The sequence below is a fragment of the Homo sapiens genome, chromosome 13, assembly GCF_000001405.40.
Source record: "Homo sapiens chromosome 13, GRCh38.p14 Primary Assembly".
In the NCBI taxonomy this organism is placed as follows: Eukaryota; Metazoa; Chordata; class Mammalia; order Primates; family Hominidae; genus Homo; species Homo sapiens.
In genome coordinates this window covers 54,118,716-54,140,063 of record NC_000013.11, presented here as the reverse complement: position 1 = coordinate 54,140,063, position 21,348 = coordinate 54,118,716, and the positions used below count along the sequence as shown (strand labels likewise).

The window sequence follows — 21,348 nt, the reverse complement described above, 5'->3', positions numbered from 1 at the left end:
CATGTGTATGTCTGCATGTGTGAGAATGTTTGAGGAATCAGGGGTTCTGTTTTTGGGCATATCTTAGGCCCCTATTAGTTTCCCAGAATGAAATCTCCATGAAAGCAAGGACTCTGTCTTGATCATTGTTATAGCACATAGAACAGTGAGTGAGAATTATTAGCAGGCAAAAAAAAAAAGTTTGTTGTGTGAGAGAATACATAAATAAATGTATGAATGAAAATTGAGATGTTGTAGCAATTTGTTCTAAAAATTTGAAATTAAGGAGGAGTTATTTGCATAGAGTTTCTATAAAATCATGGTATTGAATGAGATTATGTTGGGAGATTATGCAGACACAGAAAATACTCCAAGGATTGCTTCCTGGGGCACCCAATCAAATATTTCAATAGAAATAGGAAAAATATCCACCAAAAATCCTGAGAAGTTTTGGACAGTAAAGCAAATAAAAAGCAAGAAGAGTACTATTTCTCAGAAGACAAGTGAAGGAAGTATCTCAGCTAAGAAAGGACTTTTTATTATGTTTGAAAATGTGGAAGCCATTCTAATTTTGAAAATATGCTTATCTAAATATAACTTGGACAAATGTTACTAATATCTGTTTTATAATAAGATAAAATCCTGCATTGAAGTAACCAACATAGAAATTTGTGATTTTTTTTTAATGTTCAGAATTAAAATATATATCTAACCCACTTAACTGCAGGCTCTTGAAAGAGCATTGGCAAGAAAATAATTTGATACTGTCTCTATTCTCTCTGAAGAGCATAGATTAATTTATCAGATTACCTAGTACAAGTAAGTATAGATAAGGGTAACTATATACATTTTGTAAAACTGTGACACGTTTAAAAGTGAAGGGGACACAATTTTTAACTGTGCTACAGAAATAAGCATTATTCCTGATTTCCTCAGGGATATCAAGATGTAGGGTCATCCTGTCAAGGTGGGGTCATGGATAATATACAGAGTCGTGGTCCAAGAAAATAAATGAAGATGGTACATTTCAGTGGGGCATAAGTAAATATCTTGGGTGTTCTGAAGTCAAGAGATAGCATTTATTGAGGAGGCAACCAGGTTATGGAAAAGAGCAGTAGGTCTAAGGCTCTGAAGAACAGGCCTGATAAGAGTATGTTTCTAAAAGATGAAACAGAAGGGTGTCAACCGAAATGGCAATAGAAGAGTGCCCACAAATGCTAGTGTGCATAAAAATGAATAATCCTGGGTTAGTGAAAACAGTAATAGTCTTTACAGTTCTGCCAGAGCTGGTTTCTTTTAATGAGTTTCTTTTGTTTATCTCTTACCTCCAACAATTTTTACATTTAAGAAATGTTACAAACTGGCTGACTTTTTAAAACAATGGAGAAGGAATCCAAACACCTATTTTGTAGGTCCAGTTATAGGAGGAATTACTTACATGATCTTAACAATTGGGGTTGGGTGCAGTGGCTCACGCCTTTAATCCCAGCACTTTGGGAGGCCGAGGTGAGCGGATCACAAGGTCAATAGATCAAGACCATCCTGGCTGACATGGTGAAACCCCATCTCTACTAAAAATACAAAAATTAGCTGGGTGTGGTGGCACATGCCTGTAGTCCCAGCTACTACGGAGGCTGAGGCAGGAGAATCACTTGAACCTGGGAGGCAGAGGTTGCAGTGAGCCGAAATCGCACCACTGCAACCTCCAACCTCAACCTTCACTGTGTCTGAGCCTCAAAGTAAATAATCATAGCAATATTTTTCACAAGATTGTGGTAAGGATCTGGTGACATTATTCATGTAAACTTCATAGAGTTTATAAAGTCCTCTAAAATTGGGACTTTTGGATATTCTAATATGATTGATTTTTATATTTCCCAGACAAAATACTGAAAGCAGCACTTGAAAATTACTTATTCATGCTTCTGGCTGTGCAATTTCCCAATAATCCATAAGAGGAATCTAGAGATTGGATTGGATCTTTCTGTGGCTATGCTATTATGCCATGTGCACTTTCAGAAGTTAGTGATTGAGTTTCCATTTTAATACAGAATTCTACTTTGCTTAAAGATATTGGATTTGGAAATGCAAGCATGTTGCCTTATAATGCCCTTTCTGGTGATAACTTCATATTCCCTATAACTTCTGCCTGGAATGTTATTTTTTATTTGTGTTAATACCAAGTAGACTTTTGTTTATGCTTCAAAGCCCATCTAAAATATTTCCTTTTATCTGTCAAGACCTGCATTAGGAGCATGTGCAAATGTATAGTGAGATTTAAGGATTAGTGCAGTGAGTATGTCAAAGGTGCTCCTGTTACCCAGTTCTGGTGCAGTTTTAGCAGAATGTGGAGGAGGCAATGCAAGCACCTTATGTTGCATCTGGGCACCTTTTAGCCTTGCTATGTGAGCGGGTCTTGTGTGGTCAAGAGTCAGAACACCAGGATAATAATCTTTGCTCAACAACTTGCTAGCTGTGTGGTCACTGCCTCGTTAACAAAATATAGAGAATATCCCTGTATCTTTTGTTACAAAATAAATGTTAGAATCTCTGTTCATCTCAATATTGTTTAAATCACAATCAATTGAAATAATTTATAGTCTTCCTGACTACTAACTTGTATCAAATGACTTACACATTAGAAATCATTATTTTATTATTTCATTTAGTCTTTTACAAAACTTTAGAAATAGAGTAGCATGTGATTTGCTAAGAAAATGTAATCAGAAGGCATTTTTAAAAAACTGTTACTTAAAAAAAAAAGTGGCATATATCTATTAGAAAATCCATTTTCTACAAAGTCTTTCTTTGCAAAAGGCTAACAGAGACTAACTAGTAGATGTGTGATTTTTTACAACTAGGATGGTGGCAGCTGAGCCATGCTATGTATTTCATTTAGAGACCCACGGCCAGGAGAGAGGCCAAAAGGGAAAAAAAATAGACGTCTACTGAAGATAGACAGCTGGGTGTAAAGGTGAAGCTACATTATGAGAAGCGGTTCTGGAGTGAGCTATTTGCCTATTTTATATGGACATGCTGAAACCATGTTGTAAATAAGTAGGGTGCCTAAGAAGCACAAGATGTCGTTATGAATCTTGAGAGCCCTTAAGCATCAGATTGGATGTGCAGAGATGGTTTAAAGGAGTAGTGAATGGACAAAGTGGGTCAAAGTGCAAAATATCATAATGTTTAATGCATTCTGCAAAGACAGACATTTTAATGCCAGCTATTTGGATGCAGACATTAACAAACGGTGAGCAGAAAAAGAAAAAATAAAGCACTCTATCTAAAATAAAAGAGCTTCCCCAAAAGCACAAATAAAGAAGCGGAGGTGAGGGGCTGTGGGAGACACAGAAAACAACATTGCTGATTTGAGATCAGAAGCTCAGAGGTAAGAAGTGTGTCCTCAGACACCTGTGGAAAAGAAATATAGTCAAGAATGAATCTAAACAGAAAGATGAATTAGTGAAAGAAGACTGGCTTTGTGGGCTATAAATAAGAAAGTTTTACTAAAACACTTTTGTTCTTTGTTTCTTCCTGAAGAAAAATTCAGATAGGAAAGACAAAAATAGACAACATTAGCCTCAGGAAGAATGCTTTTCTTTTAAGTAAAAATGCATAGATGTAAGGATAGAAATAAAGGCAGTTAATGTCATTGGGCCACTGTCCTTACTGCAGAAAATACTAAGTTCCTTATGATTATTTCTGAGATTCCATTTAACTTCAGAGGTCTATCATTCTACAAGTAAAACGAGGACCTTGGGAGAGATTAGTCATGAGCAAAATGTGAGAAGCTTTTTCAGTCCTGTTTTATTTTGGAGGTGGGGTCCAAATATAAAATTTATTTTTATTTACATGGTCAAAAATAAAATTTATTTTTTGTTGCCATTTGTTTGTTTTTAATGCAGTTTGCCATGAATGAACTAAGTCAGCATTTCTCTGAAGGCTCTTGGTGAGTAAACAATGGATGTTCTGTCTCTTTGAAAATTGCCGTATGATTTAGGCAATTGCCATACTGATTAAGGGTCGTGGGCCAAACAAATAAGAAAATTATAATTATTTAAGATTAATAAGAAAAGATACACATTTCTTTAATATAATTTTTATGTGACACAGGAGTCTTTGCAAGAAAATTATGACCTGAAGAAATGATTAAACGTATAGACTTTTATGCTAGGTTTGATGAAGAATGTATAAAAATGGAGAAATATGATTAAAGAGTGTGATCTAATGGTAATAAACCAGAGGGAAATTTAGCAAGGACTGTTTGTTCACATTCTTCCCTATGACTGTTTGTCTTCAAAGATAAGGACACTTGTTTTCTCTGGGTATAAGAAGGGTGACTCTAAAATGAGGGTCTATGACCTGCTTCAGGGGAAGGTCAGAAAATCCTTCTCAGGTTTTAGGACCTTTTTCAGAAAAGAAGAACAGGGGAAGGTGAGAGTGTCCTTCCTACTTCTACTGTTTTTTTCAGATGCCAAGGTGCCATATATTAGGGTACCACGTCCTGAACCCCATCAGTGGGACTCCTATGTCTCCCTGGAGTTCATTGTCATCAAGCCTTTCTGAGTTCAGGAAGCAGACTGGTTTCATACGTACATACAACCTACTTATTCTAAGTCTCAGTTTCTTCCCATTTAAGTGATTATTGCACAGCATTTAGTATGTGCCCAAGAAAAAACCTTATGCCATATTATTATTGTTACTCTTTTATTTCTAAAATATTCACTTTATTTTGGATATCAATTTAGTTATTGTTATCTTTCTGAGGAACAACTATGAGAATTTTTATGAAAACAAGATAATAATAGTACAGTTCACCCTTGAACAACACAGGTTAGAACTGCAAAGGTACATTTATATGTGGAGTTTCTTCCATCTGCCACCCCTGAAACAGCAAGACCAAACCCTGATCTTCCTCCTTCTCTTCAGGCTACTAAAAGTGAAGACAGTGAGGATAATGACCATATGATATTCCTCTTCCATTTAATGAATAGTAAATATATTTTCTCTTCCTTATTGTTTTCTTAATAACATTTTCTTTTTTCTAGTTGACGTTATTGTGAGAATACAGTATATAATACACGCAACATGCAAAATATGTGTTAATCAACTTTTTAGGTTTTTGGTAAGGTTTCTGGTCAACAGTAGGCTCTTTGTAGTTAAGTTTTTGGGAAGTCAAAAGTTAAACATGAATTTTCAACTATGAGAGAGGATCAATACCCATAATTCCAAGGGTCAACCGTGATAATACTATCAGGTAAAATTTTTTTAGATAAGTATGTGCCTAGTACTCTTCAAAGAACTTTACATTTAATCTTTACCATGATCATGTAAAGGAAGTGCAATTATTATCTTTATTTTATAGATGTTATAACTGAGGCAGCCCATTCTCCCATGGTTTTGAAGAGTTTTGCAGTAGACCTAGGACCCAAATCTAGGACATCTGACCCTTCTTTTTTTTTTTATTATTATTATACTTTAATTCTAGGGTACATGTGCACAACATGCAGGTTTGTTACACATATATACATGTGCCGTGTTGGTTTGCTGCACCCATTAACTTGTCATTTACATTAGGTGTTTCTCCTAATGCTATCCCTCCCTGATCCCTCCACCCCATGACAGGCCCGGGTGTGTGATGTTCCCCTCCCTGTGTCCAAGTTTTCTCATTGTTCAATTCCCACCTGTGAGTGAGAACATGTGGTGTCTGGTTTTCAGACATCTGACCCTTCTATACCGAGTGAGCTTCACTGATATTGCATAGAGATAAGAAAGTAGAGACCTTTCCCAAAGTGTTCTTTGCTGACTTGTTCATCACTTAGCAAGTCTCAGGAGGAGTGGCCCTGTTAAAATTTATCAATAGTAGTTATACGCTAACATATCTTATGCATAAATGAAAACAGATGCAGTACAGAGACTGAATTGCCTTCCCAAACCATGGTGAGATTCAGTAGTTTTATTGGGCTCAGGATAGCGTAATATCTGAGTGTAGAACGGGAATAAAGATTATCTAGATCTGAATCTTGGCTCTGCCCTTTACCATAAATATGACTGAGTTAGCTGCTTAATTCCAAGCCGCTTAATCTCTATGAGGCTCAGTTGCCTCTTAAAAGGTATATTAATGATTTATATGTCTCAGTGTTTTTGCAAAAGAGTACACGAAGTGCTTAGTAAGTTTTCAATAAATGGAAGTTATTATCATTATCATTATTATGCATCTTGGAAGGCCCAGAAGAACTCTTAACGTGACAATAGCTGCTGATGACGCTAAAGAGAGAAACAAAGGAGAGCTTTTTCTTATTTATGCATATCAAACCTAAAAGTGTTAATAAGGAGGCAGCAGGACAGCAAAAGAAAAAAAATGAAACAGAGAAAGCAACATAGCTGTAAGAAAGGAATCTCATTATCAAACACATGTATTCAGGGATTTTGAGTATTTATTTCAAAGTAAAAAGCGTTTTTTTTATTGAAAATATTAGTAAACAAGTAAACATTTAGGAGAGATAATGTAATGCCCAATGAAAACCTTCAATAGTGCAACTATAAGTAGTAGTCACTTGTTTTAGTTATATTAATGTTAATTTTGTAGTTTAATATGTCTTTCTAAAGACGACATGGATGGGTATTTTTAAAAAAGTATTTGTCATGTTATTTTATTCTTTAGTAGAATTTTACTATTTGATGGATACAGCTTGATGTCCAGTACTATTTGACATAAAACACATTGATGAGTCATTAGGCTGATCATTGAAATCCTGTTGAAAAATATTTTTAAAGTCACTTGTAAATAAAATATACAAATGTAAAACTGAACAACATTCATCAGCTAAATTTAGTTTACAATTTCTTTTAAACATTTACTGGAAAGTCAAAAATGTCAAGCATATTAAAATGCTGGCCTGACAGAAGCCCTAAGGGAAAACTGTCAGGCCTCTGAGCCCAAGCTAAGCCATCATATCCCCTGTGACCTGCACGTACACATCCAGATGGCCAGTTCCTGCCTTAACTGATGACATTCCACCACAAAAGAAGTGAAAATGGTCTGTTCCTGCCTTAACTGATGACATTATCTTGTGAAATTCCTTCTCCTGGTTCATCCTGGCTCAAAAGCTCCCCTACTGAGCGCCTTTTGACCCCCACACCTGCTCCCCCTTTGACTGTAATTTTCCTTTACCTACCCAAATCTTATAAGACGGCCCTATCCCTGTCTCCCTTGGCTGACTCTCTTTTCGGACTCAGCCCGCCTGCACCCAGGTGAAATAAACAGCCTTGTTGCTCACACAAAGCCTGTTTGGTGGTCTCTTCACACAAACGCGCATGAAATTTGGTGCCATGACTCGGATCGGGGTACCTCCCTTGGGAGATCAATCCCCAGTCCTCCTGCTCTTTGCTCCGTGAGAAAGATCTACCTAGGACCTCAGGTCCTCAGACTGACCAGCCCAAGGAACATCTCACCAATTTCAAATCTGGTAAGTGGCCTCTTTTTACTCTCTTCTCCAACCTCCCTCACTATCCCTCAACCTCTTTCTCCTTTCTATCTTGGCGCCACACTTCAATCTCTCCCTTCTCTTAATTTCAATTCCTTTCATTTTCTGGTAGAGACAAAGGAGACACATTTTATCCGTGGACCCAAAACTCCGGCGCCAGTCACGGACTCGGGGAGGCAGCCTTCCCTTGGTGTTTAATAATTGCGGGGGTGCCTCTCTGATTATTCACCCACGTTCCATTGGTGTCTGATCTCTGCGGGGACGCCTGCCTTTGATCATTCACCCACGTTCCCTTGGTGGCAAGTCAATTGCAGGGACTCCTGCTTTGGCTGCTCACCTACGTTGCAGCCCAGGGCTGCTCCCCACCCCCCTTCTCCGTGTCCCTACCCTTCTCTTTAAACTTGCCTCCTTCACTATGGGCAACCTTCCACCCTCCATTCCTCCTTCTTCTCCCTTAGCCTCTGTTCTTAAGAACTTAAAACCTCTTCAACTCTCGCCTGACCTAAAATCTAAGTGTCTTATTTTCTGCAATGCCATTTGACCCCAATACAAACTTGACAGTAGTTCCAAACAGCCAGAAAATGGCACTTTGAATTTTTCCATTCTACAAAATCTAAATAATTCTTGTTGTAAAATGGGCAAACGGTCTGAGGTGCCTGACGTCCAGGCATTCTTTTACACATCAGTCCCTCTCTAGTCTCTGTTCCCAGTGCAACTCATCTCAAATCTTCCTTCTTTCCCTCCCCCCTGTCCCCTCAGTACCAACCCCAAGCGTCACTGAGTCTTTCTAATCTTCCTTCTCTACAGACCCATCTGACCTCTCCCCTCCTCACCAGGCCAAGCTAGGTCCCAATTCTTCCTCAGCCTCCGTTCCTCCACCCTATAATCCTTTTATCACCTCTCCTCCTCACACCTGGTCAGGCTTACACTTTCCTTCTGTGACTAGCCCTCCCCCACCTGCCCAGCAATTTCCTCTTAAAAAGGTGGCTGGAGCTAAAGGCATAGTCAAGGTTAATGCTCCTTTTTCTTTATCCCAAATCACATAGCGTTTAGGCTCTTTTTCATTAAATATAAAAACCCAGCCCAGTTCATGGCTTGTTTGGCAGCACCCTGAGATGCTTTACAGCCCTAGACCCTAAAAGGTCAAAAGGCTGTCTTATTCTCAATATTCATTTTATTACCCAATCCATTCCCGACATTAAATAAAACTCCAAAAATTAAGTTCCATCCCTCAAACCCCACAACAGGACTTAATTAACCTTGCCTTCAAGGTGTACAATAATAGAGTAGAGACAGCCAATAGCAACATATTTCTGAGTTGCACTTCCTTGCCTCCACTGTGAGACAAACCCCACCCACATCTCCAGCACACAAGAACTTCCAAACGCCTAAATCGCAGTGGCCAGGCATTCCTCCAGGCCTGCCTCCCCCAGGGGCTTGCTACAAGTGCCAGAAATCTGGCCATGAGGCCAAGGAATGCCCGCAGCCCGGGATTCGTCCTAAGCTGCGTCCCATCTGTGCAGGACCCCACTGAAAATCGGACTGTTCAACTCATCTGGCAGCCACTCCCAGAGCCCCTGGAACTCTGGCCCAAGCCTCTCTGACTGACTCCTTCCCAGATCTTCTCGGCTTAGCAGCTGAAGACTGACACTGCCCAATCGCCTTGGAAGCCCCCTAGACCATCACGGATGCCGAGCTTCGAGTAACTCTCACAGTGGAGGGTAAGTCCTGTCCCCTTCTTAATCAATACGGAGGCTACCCACTACACATTACTTTCTTTTCAAGGGCCTGTTTCCCTTGCCTCCATAACTGTTGTGGGTATTGATGGCCAGGCTTCTAAACCTCTTAAAACTCCCCAACTCTGGTGCCAACTTAGACAATACTTTTTTAAGCCCTCCTTTTTAGTCATCCCCACCTGCCCAGTTCCCTTATTAGGCCGAGACACTTTAACTAAATTATCTGCTGCCCTGACTATTCCTGGGCTACAGCTATATCTCATTGCCGCCCTTCTTCCCAATCCAAAGCCTCCTTTGCGTCATCCTCTTGTATCCCCCCACCTTAACCCACAAGTATAGGATACCTCTACTCCCTCCTTGGCAAACGATCATGCACCCCTTACCATCTCATTAAAACCTAATCACCCTTACCCCGCTCAAGGCCAATATCCCATCCCACAGCTCGCTTTAAAAAGATTAAAGCCTGTTATCACTCGCCTGCTACAGCATGGCCTTTTAGAGCCTATAAGCTCTCCTTACAATTCCCCCATTTTACCTGTCCTAAAACCAGACAAGCCTTACAAGTTAGTTCAGGATCTGCGCCTTGTCAACCAAATTGTTTTGCCTATCCACCCCATGGTGCCAAACCCATATACACTCCTATCCTCAATACCTCCCTCCACAACCCATTATTCTGTTCTGGATCTCAAACATTCTTTCGTTACTATTCCTTTGCACCCTTCATCCCAGCCTCTCTTCACTTTCACTTGGACTGACCCTGACACCCATCAGGCTCAGCAAATCACCTGGGCTGTACTACCACAAGGCTTCACAGATAGCCCCCACTACTTCAGTCAAGCCCAAATTTCATCCTCATCTGTTACCTATCTCGGGATAATTCTCATAAAAACACACGTGCTCTCCCTGCTGATCGTGTTCGACTGATCTCCCAAACCTCAATCCCTTCTACAAAACAACAACTCCTTTCCTTCCTAGGCATGGTTAGTGCGGTCAGAATTGTTACATAAGAGCCAGGACAACACCCTGTAGCCTTTCTGTCCAAACAACTTGACCTTACTGTTTTAGCCTAGCCCTCATGTCTGTGTGCAGTGGCTGCTGCTGCTTTAATACTTTTAGAGTCCCTAAAAATCACAAACTATGCTCAAGTCACTCTCTACAGTTCTTATAACTTCCAAAATCTATTTTCTTCCTCATACCTGATGCATATACTTTCTGCTTCCCGGCTCCTTCAGCTATACTCACTCTCTGTCGAGTCTCCCACAATTACCATTGTTCCTGGCACGGGCTTCAATCCGGCCTCCCACATTATTCTGGATACCACATCTGACCCTCATGACTGTATCTCTCTGATCCACCTGACATTCACCCCATTTCCCCATATTTCCTTATTTCCTGTTCCTCACTCTGATCACATTTGGTTTATTGATGGCAGTTACACCAGGCCTAATCGCCACTCACCAGCAAAGGCAGGCTATGCTATAGTATCTTCCACATCTATCATTGAGGCTACCGCTCTGCCCCTCTCCACTACCTCTCAGCAAGCCGAACTAGTTGACTTAACCCGGGCCCTCACTCTTGCAAAACGACTACGTGTCAATATTTATACTGACTCTAAATATGCCTTCCATATTCTGCACCACCATGCTGTTACATAGGCAGAAAGAAGTTTCCTCACTATGCAAGGGTCCTTCATCATTAATGCCTCTTAATAAAAACTCTGCTCAAGGCTGCTTTACTTCCAAAGGAAGCTGGAGTCATTCACTGCAAAGGCCATCAAAAGGCATCAGATCCCATTGCTCTAGGCAACGCTTATGCTGATAAGGTGGCTAGACAAGCAGCTAGCTTTCCAACTTCTGTCCCTCAACAAGCAGCTAGCTTTCCAACTTCTGTCCCTCATGGCCAATTTTTCTCCTTCACATTGGTCACTCCCACCTGCTCGGGGATTTGCCCCTGCCCAGGACTGGCAAATTGACTTTATTCACATGCCCCGAGTCAGAAAACTAAAATACCTCTTAGTCTAGGTAGACACTTTCACTGGATAGGTAGAGGCCTTTCCTATAGGGTCTGAGAAGGCCACTGCTGTCATTTCTTCCCTTCTGTCAGACATAATTCCTCGGTTTAGACTTCCCACCTCTATACAGTCCGATAGCAGACCAGCCTTTATTAGTCAAATCAGCCAAGTATTTTTTCAGGCTCTTAGTATTCAGTGAAACCTTTATATCCCTTACGGTCCTCAGTCTTCAGGAAAGGTAGAACAGACTAATGGTCTTTTACAAACACACCTCACCAAGCTCAGCCACCAACTTAAAAAAGACTGGACAATACTTTTACCACTTTCCCTTCTCAGAATTCAGGCCTGTCCTCGGAAAGCTACAGGGTACAGCCCATTTGAGCTCCTGTATAGACACTACTTTTTATTAGGCCCCAGTCTCATTCCAGACTCCAGACCAACTTGGACTGTGCCCCAAAAAACTTGTCATCCCTACTATCTTCTGTCTAGTCATACTCCTATTCATTGTTCTCAACTACTTACACATGCCCTGCTCTTGTTTACACTGCCAGTTTACACTGTTTCTCCAAGCCATCACAGCTGATATCTCCTGGTGCTATCCCCAAACTGCCACTCTTAACTCTTAAAGTAAATAAATAATCTTTGCTGGCAGGACTGTGCTGAATCTCCTTAGGCACTCTCTAAATAGATGTCCTAGGTCTTCCCAATTCTTAGACCTTTAATACCTGTTTTTGTCCTTCTTTTATTCCGTTTAGTTTTTCAATTCATACAAAACCATATCCAGGCCATCACCAATAATTCTAAATGACAAATGTTTCTTCTAACAACCCCACAATATCACCCCTTACCACAAAATCTTCCTTCAGCTTAATCTCTCCCACTCTAAGTTTCCACACTGCCCATAATCCCGCTTGAAGCAGCCCTGAGAAACATGGCCCATTATCTCTCCATACCACCCCCAAAAATTTTTGCCGTCACAACATTTTACCACTATTTCGTTTTATTTTTCTTATTAATATAAGAAGACAGGAATGTCAGGCCTCTGAGCCCAAGCTAAGCCATCATATCCCCTGTGACCTGCACGTACACATCCAGATGGCCAGTTCCTGCCTTAACTGATGACATTCCACCACAAAAGAAGTGAAAATGGCCTGTTCCTGCCTTAACTGATGACATTATCTTGTGAAATTCCTTCTCCTGGTTCATCCTGGCTCAAAAGCTCCCCTACTGAGCGCCTTGTGACCCCCACACCTGCCCCTCCTTTGACTGTAATTTTCCTTTACCTACCCAAATCTTATAAAATGGCCCCACCCCTATCTCCCTTGGCTGACTCTCTTTTCGGACTCAGCCCGCCTGCACCCAGGTGAAATAAACAGCCTTGTTGCTCACACAAACCCTGTTTGCTGGTCTCTTCACAGGAACGCGCATGAAAAAACCAAACAAACAAAAAAATTTCTTTTGGTAGCAGAATAAAAAAACAAAAAAAAGGACTTTTTCTTCTGGACTGAACTATATTTAAATCTCAAAGGATGGACATCTCACAACCTTCCTACAGCAAGTACTGTGAGGTAATAATTGATATATTAATTATTAAAATTATTGAAGCTGGAACTCAGATTTCCATTTTATATTTACATATATAATTATTCTATTAATGGATTCTAGCTTAAATAAAGAGAAGCAACATGAGTCATTGGGGCAAGGGGTGAGATCGATGACCTCTGGAGATTGATCCCAGTGTTCTGACAGAGTTAGCTTCTGTTATCAGGTGCTATAGTTTTTCATAGTGATGCTGATAGAGCCTACTCAAGGATTGGACTCATTCTTTTGTTCCATGAATGCCAATTCTGCAGAAGCCACTGTGGTAGAAATTCAAATGTAATGAAAAACAAACATTCACTCATTTATTATCACTATTTGCCTGCCACAAAGACAGATTTTGAGGAAGATAAACAAATAAAAACGTGTTTGCCATTTGAAGGGAAATTATATGGTGTTTTAGAGTTATCATGGAAGATTTAATCTTTCAGAGAAGCTTGGGGAGATTCCCCTGGGAAGTGACACTTGAGCTGATCTGTAGGAGGACATATGTGATGAATAACAGAAAGAGCAATCAAGGCAGTGAAAACGATACAGTCGAAGGACCCATGGAGGAAGGAAGCAAATGCAAGGGGAATAACAAGATCAAGGTGGCTGGAAACAGAAAGCAGGAGCAAGCATAGTTTAATAACGTTGGGATGAAAGAAGCAGGGAGACCATACAGGGAGGGCTGGAGCCACAGGGCACCATTAAATGGTTTTAAATAGGTAAGTAAATTGGCAAAGTTTGCCTTTGGAGAGAATTGCTCTGGCTGCTGAATGGAGAACAGGTTCAGGAATGCCAAAGTGAATATACATTGACATTTTAGGAAGATTTGAAAGTGTCTAAGCAAGAAATAATGATTTTGACCCTCCAAGTGTTGTCCAAAAGAACATTTTGCAATGATGGAAATCTAATCTGTATTCTACTGTAGTCACCAGTAGCTACATGTGGCTATTCAACACTTAAATGTAGCTAGAGTGACTGAGCAATTGAATTTTATGTTTTTTTAATACTAGTTATTCCAAATTTACATAGAAAAAGCCACAGGTTCAAAAAAAAGCCACATGTAGCTAATGGCTAATGTATTGTACAGCTCTGCTCAACAGTATTAGAGTTTGGTATATTAAATGATTTCAATACATGGCAATATGGACAAGACACTGTCATTCAAAATGGAAATGAAAACAGAGATAACATGAGAAATATCACTCAGGTACTATCTGGAAGAGCCCAAATTTGAATCTAAATTACAGTCATGCTTCACTTATCAATGGCAATGTGTTCTGAGAAATGCATCTTTAGGTGATTTCGTAGTTGTGCAAACATCATAGGCCATACTTACACAAACTTAAATGATATCACCTACTACACACCTAGGCTATATGGTATAGCATACTGTTCCTAGGTTACAAATCTATATCATGTAAATGTACTGAATACTGTGGACATTTGTAACACAATGACGTTTGTACTATCTAAACATATCCAAACATAGAAAAGGTACAGTAAAAACATGGTGTACAAGATAAAAAATGGTGCACATGTATGGGGCACTTACCATGAATGGAGCTTGCAGAACTGGGTGTTGTTCTGGGCGAGTCAGTGAGTGAGTGAGTGGTGAGTGAATGTGAAGGCCTAGAACATTACCATACACTATGGCAGGCTTTATAAACGCTATACACTTAGGCCACCACTAAATTTATAAACAAATAATTTTTCTTTAATAATAAGCTAAGCTTGCTCTAACTATTTTACTTTATAAACTTTTAAATTTCTTTTTGACTTTTTTGTAATAACGTTTAGCATATATTGTTCAGCTGTTCAAATATGTGTTCTTTCTTCATAGCCTTATACTATGAGCTTTTACCCATTTGAAATTTTTTTAATTTTCATTTTTTTACTTTTTAAACGTTTTTGTTAAAAACAAAGACACAAACACATACATTTGCCTAAGCCTACATAGAGTCAGGATCATCAATATCATTGTCTTCCAGAGCTGCATCTTGTCCCACTGGATGGTCTTCAGAGACAATAATACATAATGGAGCTGTCATCTCCTATGATAACAATGCCTTCTTCTGGATACCTCCTGAAGGACCTGCCTGAGGCTCTTTCACTGTTAGTTTTTTTTTAATAAGTAGAAGGATTACACTCTAAAATAATAAGTGTAGTATAGTAAATGTATAAACCAGTAACATAATGGTTTATTATCATTATCAAGTATTACATACTGTACAAAATTATATGTGCTACAATTTTATGTGACTGGCAGCACAGTAGGTTTGTTTATACCAGCATCACCACAAACACGTGAGTAATATGACACACCATGATATTCTGACAACCATGACATCACTAGGCCAGGGAATTTTTTAGGTCCATTATCATCATAGGCGACCACAGTTGTATATGTGATGTGGTCTGTCATTGACTAAAATCTCATTATGACTGTACTTAGTCTCTAAACCTTATTCTATTTCTTTCTTTTCTTATGGCTTTTTCCTCTATAAGAACTCAAAGGGGGAGAGAAAAAGACGAAAAATATCTTCAAAGAGGAGAACAAATCTGATCTTTCTCTACGTCTGCTTAGTTGGCGTAACTTTAGGATGTCCATAAGTTGTAGCTTTCCTGGGAAAATTTGATTTTACACTGGTTATCCCAACATAATATTAATGGTATCCTCTTAGACTCTCAATAGTGTCCGGTTTGGATGACAAATTCTGTGGTCTTTTTAGCCAACTGCTACTGAAGTGGTCAGATTTATTGCACAAAATATATTTTTAAAAATAAGTAGCACAAGATGAAATATGGCCTCAAATTTCTTGGTTAGTTTCCACTAGAAAGTTTTAAACATTAAAAAGTACAAAATTCATTACATTTATTGAATGATAAAGTATAACATTGTATGAAGTTGATGACTATTAAAACTATTTGAGTGTTTAAGTTTTGTCAGGTTCTCTTTGGTGATGTCAGTTAAGTGTCTTTCATTAATTCTTATATGCCTCACTTTTCCTGTAAATAACTTATTAACCACCCACTACTTTTTTTCTGACTGATTAAATGGTATAAATGTCGAGAAAAACAACATGAATGACATAAATGCCAAGAATCAGTTGAAATGTAAAAATATATTTAATACAGAGGTTCTGTTTATGACTCCTTAAAACATACTTAAGGAAGCACACAGTTAACTAATAACAGCAATTAACTAGGATTGGTAGAAAACCTTTATTTTCTTATTCTATAGTCCATTTGTGAGGAGCTTAATATAAGAAAGTTAGTAGGTCAAACTAATAATAGGGCAAAGTACTGTTCCAAGAACTTGTCTAATGATGTTCCAGTGCCAAAAATGCTCTGAAAAATTGAGATAATTGAAGTCTTTGATCAGAAGGGTGTAAAATAATGTTGGAAATAATCAAGTGAAGATGTAAAGCTATGACTCGGTTTCCCATGCTGAGCATGTTAACATTCTTCACTGTTTCTTCTTGCATGCTGTACATGGCCGACATTTTTCAAAGTAATGAGAAACACTATTTGGTGAAGTTCTTTTCATCTTTGCTGTCCACATGTATCACTCCCATCCAAAAGTTGCAGTTGCATTTAGCAGTTGCAAAGGAAAGGATTTTCTCACGTAGGCATGGATACTTGAAGGGGCTGTATCAACACATAGAACAGTTAGTTACACATCCTCCTAGGTTATCCTGCTGGAACAAACAGCAAAAGACCAAGAGGTAGCAAACAGATAATTTAATCCACAGCTGCATCCCCTGGATTTACTCATTTACTCACGAGTCACAGGCTCTAGCCATAGGATAAAGGACTTTTAGTCACATGAGGGATATTTTCCCAGGTGGCATCTGGAATAAAAGTTGTTTTTCAACAAAATCTTAATATATGAAGCTCTTCTAATCATGTAATCTCCCCATCCCCTCACACACACACACTACTTTTTGGGTCAAAGGAATCATTTCCTGTATTTTCATGGATTTTTGCATAAGTAAACAGGCATAGAACCAACTCTTATGAGCCGTAGATTAATGAGAAGCTTCTTTTGATTCTGACTTATGTTAAACACAGAGAAGATGTGTGAATTCTCTGCGCTCACACAAGATTTGCTACAAATTAATGTGAATTGTAGACTGATGAGAGGCACAGAATGGGACCCGCACATCACACATATTCAAAGACAGGAGAAGAAAATCTTGATGAGTACCAGGTCAGAGATTTCCCTAAGTTATTCCTAGTTATCACTTTCTCTGATGCCCTGAAAAGTGGAGAGTGAAAATTACCCTAAAACCTACTCTCAGTGATGGCTATCAATTTTTTGTAATTGATGTACATAATTATACTTAAATTAATATTTGAAATAGTGAAAGTTTTGACACGCTTCGGTTTGTGCACATGAGGGAGGTAGTAAGCAGGCAGGGTAAAGCTGAGGTGTCCTGGGATCTCTGCCAATCTCCTTTAAGACTCAGGCCATGATCAGTGTCTTCCAACACTTACCTGTCTGTCTAGATATACTATCTTATGTAGGCTGAAGTTTTCTGAACTTTCTTAGTGCAGTCTTAAAATGTATATATGGGCCGAGCACGGTGGCTCACGCCTGTAATCCCAATCCCAGCACTGCAGGTGGGCAGATCATGAGGTCAGGAAATCGAGACTATCCTGGCCAACATGGTGAAACCCCATCTCTACTAAAAATACAAAAATTAGCTGGGTATGGTGGCGCATGCCTGTAATCCCAGCTATTCGGGAGGCTGAGGCACGAAAATCGCTTGAACCCAGGAGGCAGATGTTGCAGTGAGCCGAGATCGTGCCACTGCACTCCAGCCTGGTGACAGAGCAAGACTCCGTCTCAAAAAAAAAATAAAAATGTACATATGAAATTCTGTTATTGATACTGATCATGACCTATTTCTCATTTGCAGTTACGATTTTTCAGTTTAAACTCTATGCAAGCATTTGTTTGTTGCCCAGTTCCCATCTGAAATGTATCCCATGCATTTCAGTATGCTATTACATATTATTTCTGTTTTCTTTTTAAAGATGTATTCTTCAGACACTGAGAGTGGATAAGCAGCATTTCTTATAGAATGATTTCTCAGCTGTGCTCATTTTCTGTTTCAATGTGCAATATATTACAAATACACAAAGAAAGGCGAGGAAAGGGGGCAATCTAACCCAAGACTTGGTAGGACTAATTTGAAGGAAAAGAAATCCTGTTGAAAAGTTGATGAAGAAACTTATAGCTATATACGTAGTGTGAGTGAATGGAACATTAAAATACTCAGGACTTTAATTCTCTTTGAGGTGCCAGATAATAGAATATAACAGGGGCGCATGTAAGTACAATTAAAAACAGAAGTTATTCATTGCAGTGAGAGATACACAAAAGTGTAACAAAAAGTTCCAAGGAAATGTGAGAATATAATTGGGAATTCAAATAAGGCTCTGAGCTTACCCTAAAGTCTTGGTAGCATTTTGACAGCTCAATATGAAGTAGAAGAGCATTTCATGTGAAGGGAATAGTATCTTAGAGATGGGAAAGTATAGGCAATGTCAAGTTGTCAGGTTGCACAAAGGATAAAGATATATTATGAAAAAGATAGAATAAGAATTGCAGAGGTATACTGAGACCAGGTCATGGAAGTCTTTGAATTCTATGCTTACACACATGGATTTATTTAGTAAATGGGAGGAGTCCTTTCATGGTGTTTGACTATGACCATAAATGCGCTTTAGGGTGATACTTTGGTAATGACATGTGGAATAGACCAGAGTAGACAGATGAAGAAGATGAGCAGTCTGGATTAGAGATATGGAGACCAGACCTCACTGGTCAGAATGGAGAAGAATCCTCAAACATGATACTATCTCTTCCTAAATACTATATCATAATAACATCCTGGGGCCTCAGTTTCTACAATAGTAAATGTTGGTTGAATGCAGAATAGAAAGGATGTGATCCCTGGTAATATGGCAAGGGAAGAGGCAGTGGGATAGAATCATAGATGAGGCTTTGATATGGTTTGGATTTGTGTCCCCACCCAAATCCATATTCACTTGTAATCCCCAGTGTTGGAGGAGGGGCCTGGTGGGAGGTAAATGGATCATGGGGGCAGATTTTCCCCTTGCTGTTCTCATGATAGTGGGTGAGTTCTCACAAGACCTGGTTGTTAAAAGTGTGTAGCACCTCCCCCTTCTCTCTCTCTCCTGCTCCAGCCATGTAAAGGTGTGCTGCTTTCCCTTTGCCTTCCGCCATTATTGAAAGTTTCCTGAGGCCTCCCCAGCCATGCTACCTGTACGACCTGTGAAACCATAAGCCAATTAAGCTTCTTTTCTTTATAAATTTCCCAGTCTCAGGTATGTCTTTACAGCAGTGCAAGAACGAACTAATACAGGCTTCAAAACCTGTGTGATTGGAAGAATGAAAAGGTTGTTAGTAAGAATAATAAGAGAATTATTATCTGAGCATTAGAAAGATGATAATATGTTCTTGCAATGTCATAGGCAATCCTATTCTAAATTCTAAGTGTTAAAATTTTCAAAGTTTATGCTGATTTATCAATTAAATACAAGTCCTGACTTTGGAAAACATTTAACATGGTTTGTACATATATAATGAATTTTTAAACACACTCCATTTAAACATGTGACTAATCAGAAAACAGAATTAGAAAATTTCATGTAAATCACAGGTAAAGAAAATGGCAATATTTTTGTTTATTTTTGTTTTGATTCTGACCCTCCCTCTTGTCACCCAGGCTGGAGTGCGGCGGCATCATCTCGGCTCACAGCAACCTCCGCCTCTGGGTTAAAGCGATGCTGCTCCTGCCTCAGCCTCCTGAGTAACTGGGATTACAGGCGCCTGCCACCACGCCTGGCTAATTTTTTTTTTTTTTTTAATTTTTCATAGAGATGGGCTTTTACCATGTTGGCTAGGCTGGTCTCAAACTTCTGATCTCAGGTGATCTGCCCACCTTGGCCTGCTAAAGTTCTGGGATTACAGGTGTGAGCCACGGCGCCCAACAAAAATGGCAACTTTAATGAAAGAATGAAAACATCTTTCATCACCGTTATATATTCAACATTTTAAGAAAATTACAAATTAGTGATAAGTTCATAAAATAAGCCCACATTCTACAAAAACAAAAGCTTATTTATTTTGAAAACTACTTGTTTTTCCCTAAAAATGAGGCCTGTCATGAAAAGTACAATTTTTAAAAAATTGTCTCCCTATGACCTCAAGGGTTTTTTTTTAAAAAATTTGGGAGTTTTCTGTATTTTTGTTTGAGTTAATTTTTTTTGGAGTTCACGCAATCAGAAGTTTTATCTTCTAGAAAGCAAAATGTCAACTTTGTCTTGTTAATCAGCTTACTGTTCTCATGATTGTCACTGACAACTCTTATGAAGTATACAGCCATTTACAATTTTCACCAGAGCGCAATCTCTAATGAATGTTTCAAAAATAGAGCACTGGCATATTCATTCTATTTAATTTTCCACTATAACACTTTGAGTGAGGTATGGATATTCTCCTTTTACAGGGTGATTGTTTGACATTGTGATGCTAAGTTAATTGCCAATAATCGGTAAATTTTTTGTATGACTCCAGGTGCTGCTCACTTTCTACCACCTGTCAGCTACTTCTTCACTGTCATTGACACCTAGAGTGCTTCCTCTAAGGTACCCTCTCGGGTGGTACAGCAGCACCAAGTAATGTCTCCAACATTACTACACAAACTACAGTTGCTGTGTAAATAAACTTGTGCTTCGATAGAGAGGAAATCTGTCTATTTCTCTGTAACTGTTAGGGAAGATATGGTTCAGTTGGAATAGCCTCTCACAAAATACTCTAGACAATGGCATTAATAATACTGTAAGTCTGGAACAGAAGGGATTACTGAGTATCAATCAGCACTACTTTTCAAATTAATTTAAAATGTGTATATTATGCATCCGAACATTATGCATCCTAACATTAGGAACTCTGTCGGGAAAGCTTATGGAACCTTGGATGTTACATAGCGGGCTTTGCTATTCAGGCCTGAGCATCTAGGTCTAGCCTAAAAATCATATGTTAACTGATTGTGTTTTTTTAAAGTGTCACTTGATCTTTTAGAACCTCACATTTTTTAAACAGAAAAATGAAATATTGATGACTGGGGATCAATTCTTCATAGGTCTCTCATGTTTTTTCACATCTTGTGAGCTGATACTGACAGCCTTTGTTCCAGACTATCTATTCAATTATGTTTGTATAGTGAACAGCCTTGGAAAATAGAAATAGCGTCTCCCTCCAGAGCAACGGTCAGGCATGCTTCTTGCCCATTAATAGCTTTTGGGTTCCCTAAGCTCAGGATTTCATTTTGATAGTGCAACCTACTGTGTGAACAGATATCATCTGGCCCTTTTCATGTTACTCTGTGGGAACTGGGGCTCAGTGAACTGTCACAAGATAATATTGATGCTCCAGCTATTGATATTACTGTGAGTATTGAAATCCTTTGTCTCTGACCCAGGAGACTTCTTGTCTTTTGCCAGCATCCAT

The 21,348-nt window shown here is 39.0% G+C and overlaps 1 long non-coding RNA gene across 2 annotated transcripts, besides 3 other annotated features; it reads left to right on the top strand.

The window, feature by feature from the left end:
* Positions 6,731-7,426: an enhancer, noted in NCBI's record as "OCT4-NANOG-H3K27ac hESC enhancer chr13:54706773-54707468 (GRCh37/hg19 assembly coordinates)". NCBI's record gives its function as "activates a minimal SCP1, AML or CMV promoter by ChIP-STARR-seq in primed H9 embryonic stem cells {active_cell/tissue: H9 hESC(primed)}" and the evidence as "EXISTENCE:reporter gene assay evidence [ECO:0000049][PMID:30033119]".
* On the top strand, positions 7,193-15,740 carry LINC00458 (long intergenic non-protein coding RNA 458). Of its 2 annotated transcripts, NR_108062.1 has the most exons (4): positions 7,193-7,451; positions 8,993-9,190; positions 12,635-12,784; positions 15,309-15,740. It is a non-coding gene; the product is annotated as a long intergenic non-protein coding RNA 458 (long non-coding RNA). The 2 variants fall into 2 exon arrangements; NR_108063.1 differs by lacking the exon at positions 15,309-15,740 and having other exon boundaries at positions 12,635-13,202.
* Positions 7,427-8,122: an enhancer, noted in NCBI's record as "H3K27ac hESC enhancer chr13:54706077-54706772 (GRCh37/hg19 assembly coordinates)". NCBI's record gives its function as "activates a minimal SCP1, AML or CMV promoter by ChIP-STARR-seq in primed H9 embryonic stem cells {active_cell/tissue: H9 hESC(primed)}" and the evidence as "EXISTENCE:reporter gene assay evidence [ECO:0000049][PMID:30033119]".
* Positions 12,057-12,617: an enhancer, noted in NCBI's record as "OCT4-NANOG hESC enhancer chr13:54701582-54702142 (GRCh37/hg19 assembly coordinates)". NCBI's record gives its function as "activates a minimal SCP1, AML or CMV promoter by ChIP-STARR-seq in primed H9 embryonic stem cells {active_cell/tissue: H9 hESC(primed)}" and the evidence as "EXISTENCE:reporter gene assay evidence [ECO:0000049][PMID:30033119]".
* Positions 15,741-21,348: the final 5,608 nt, after the last annotated feature.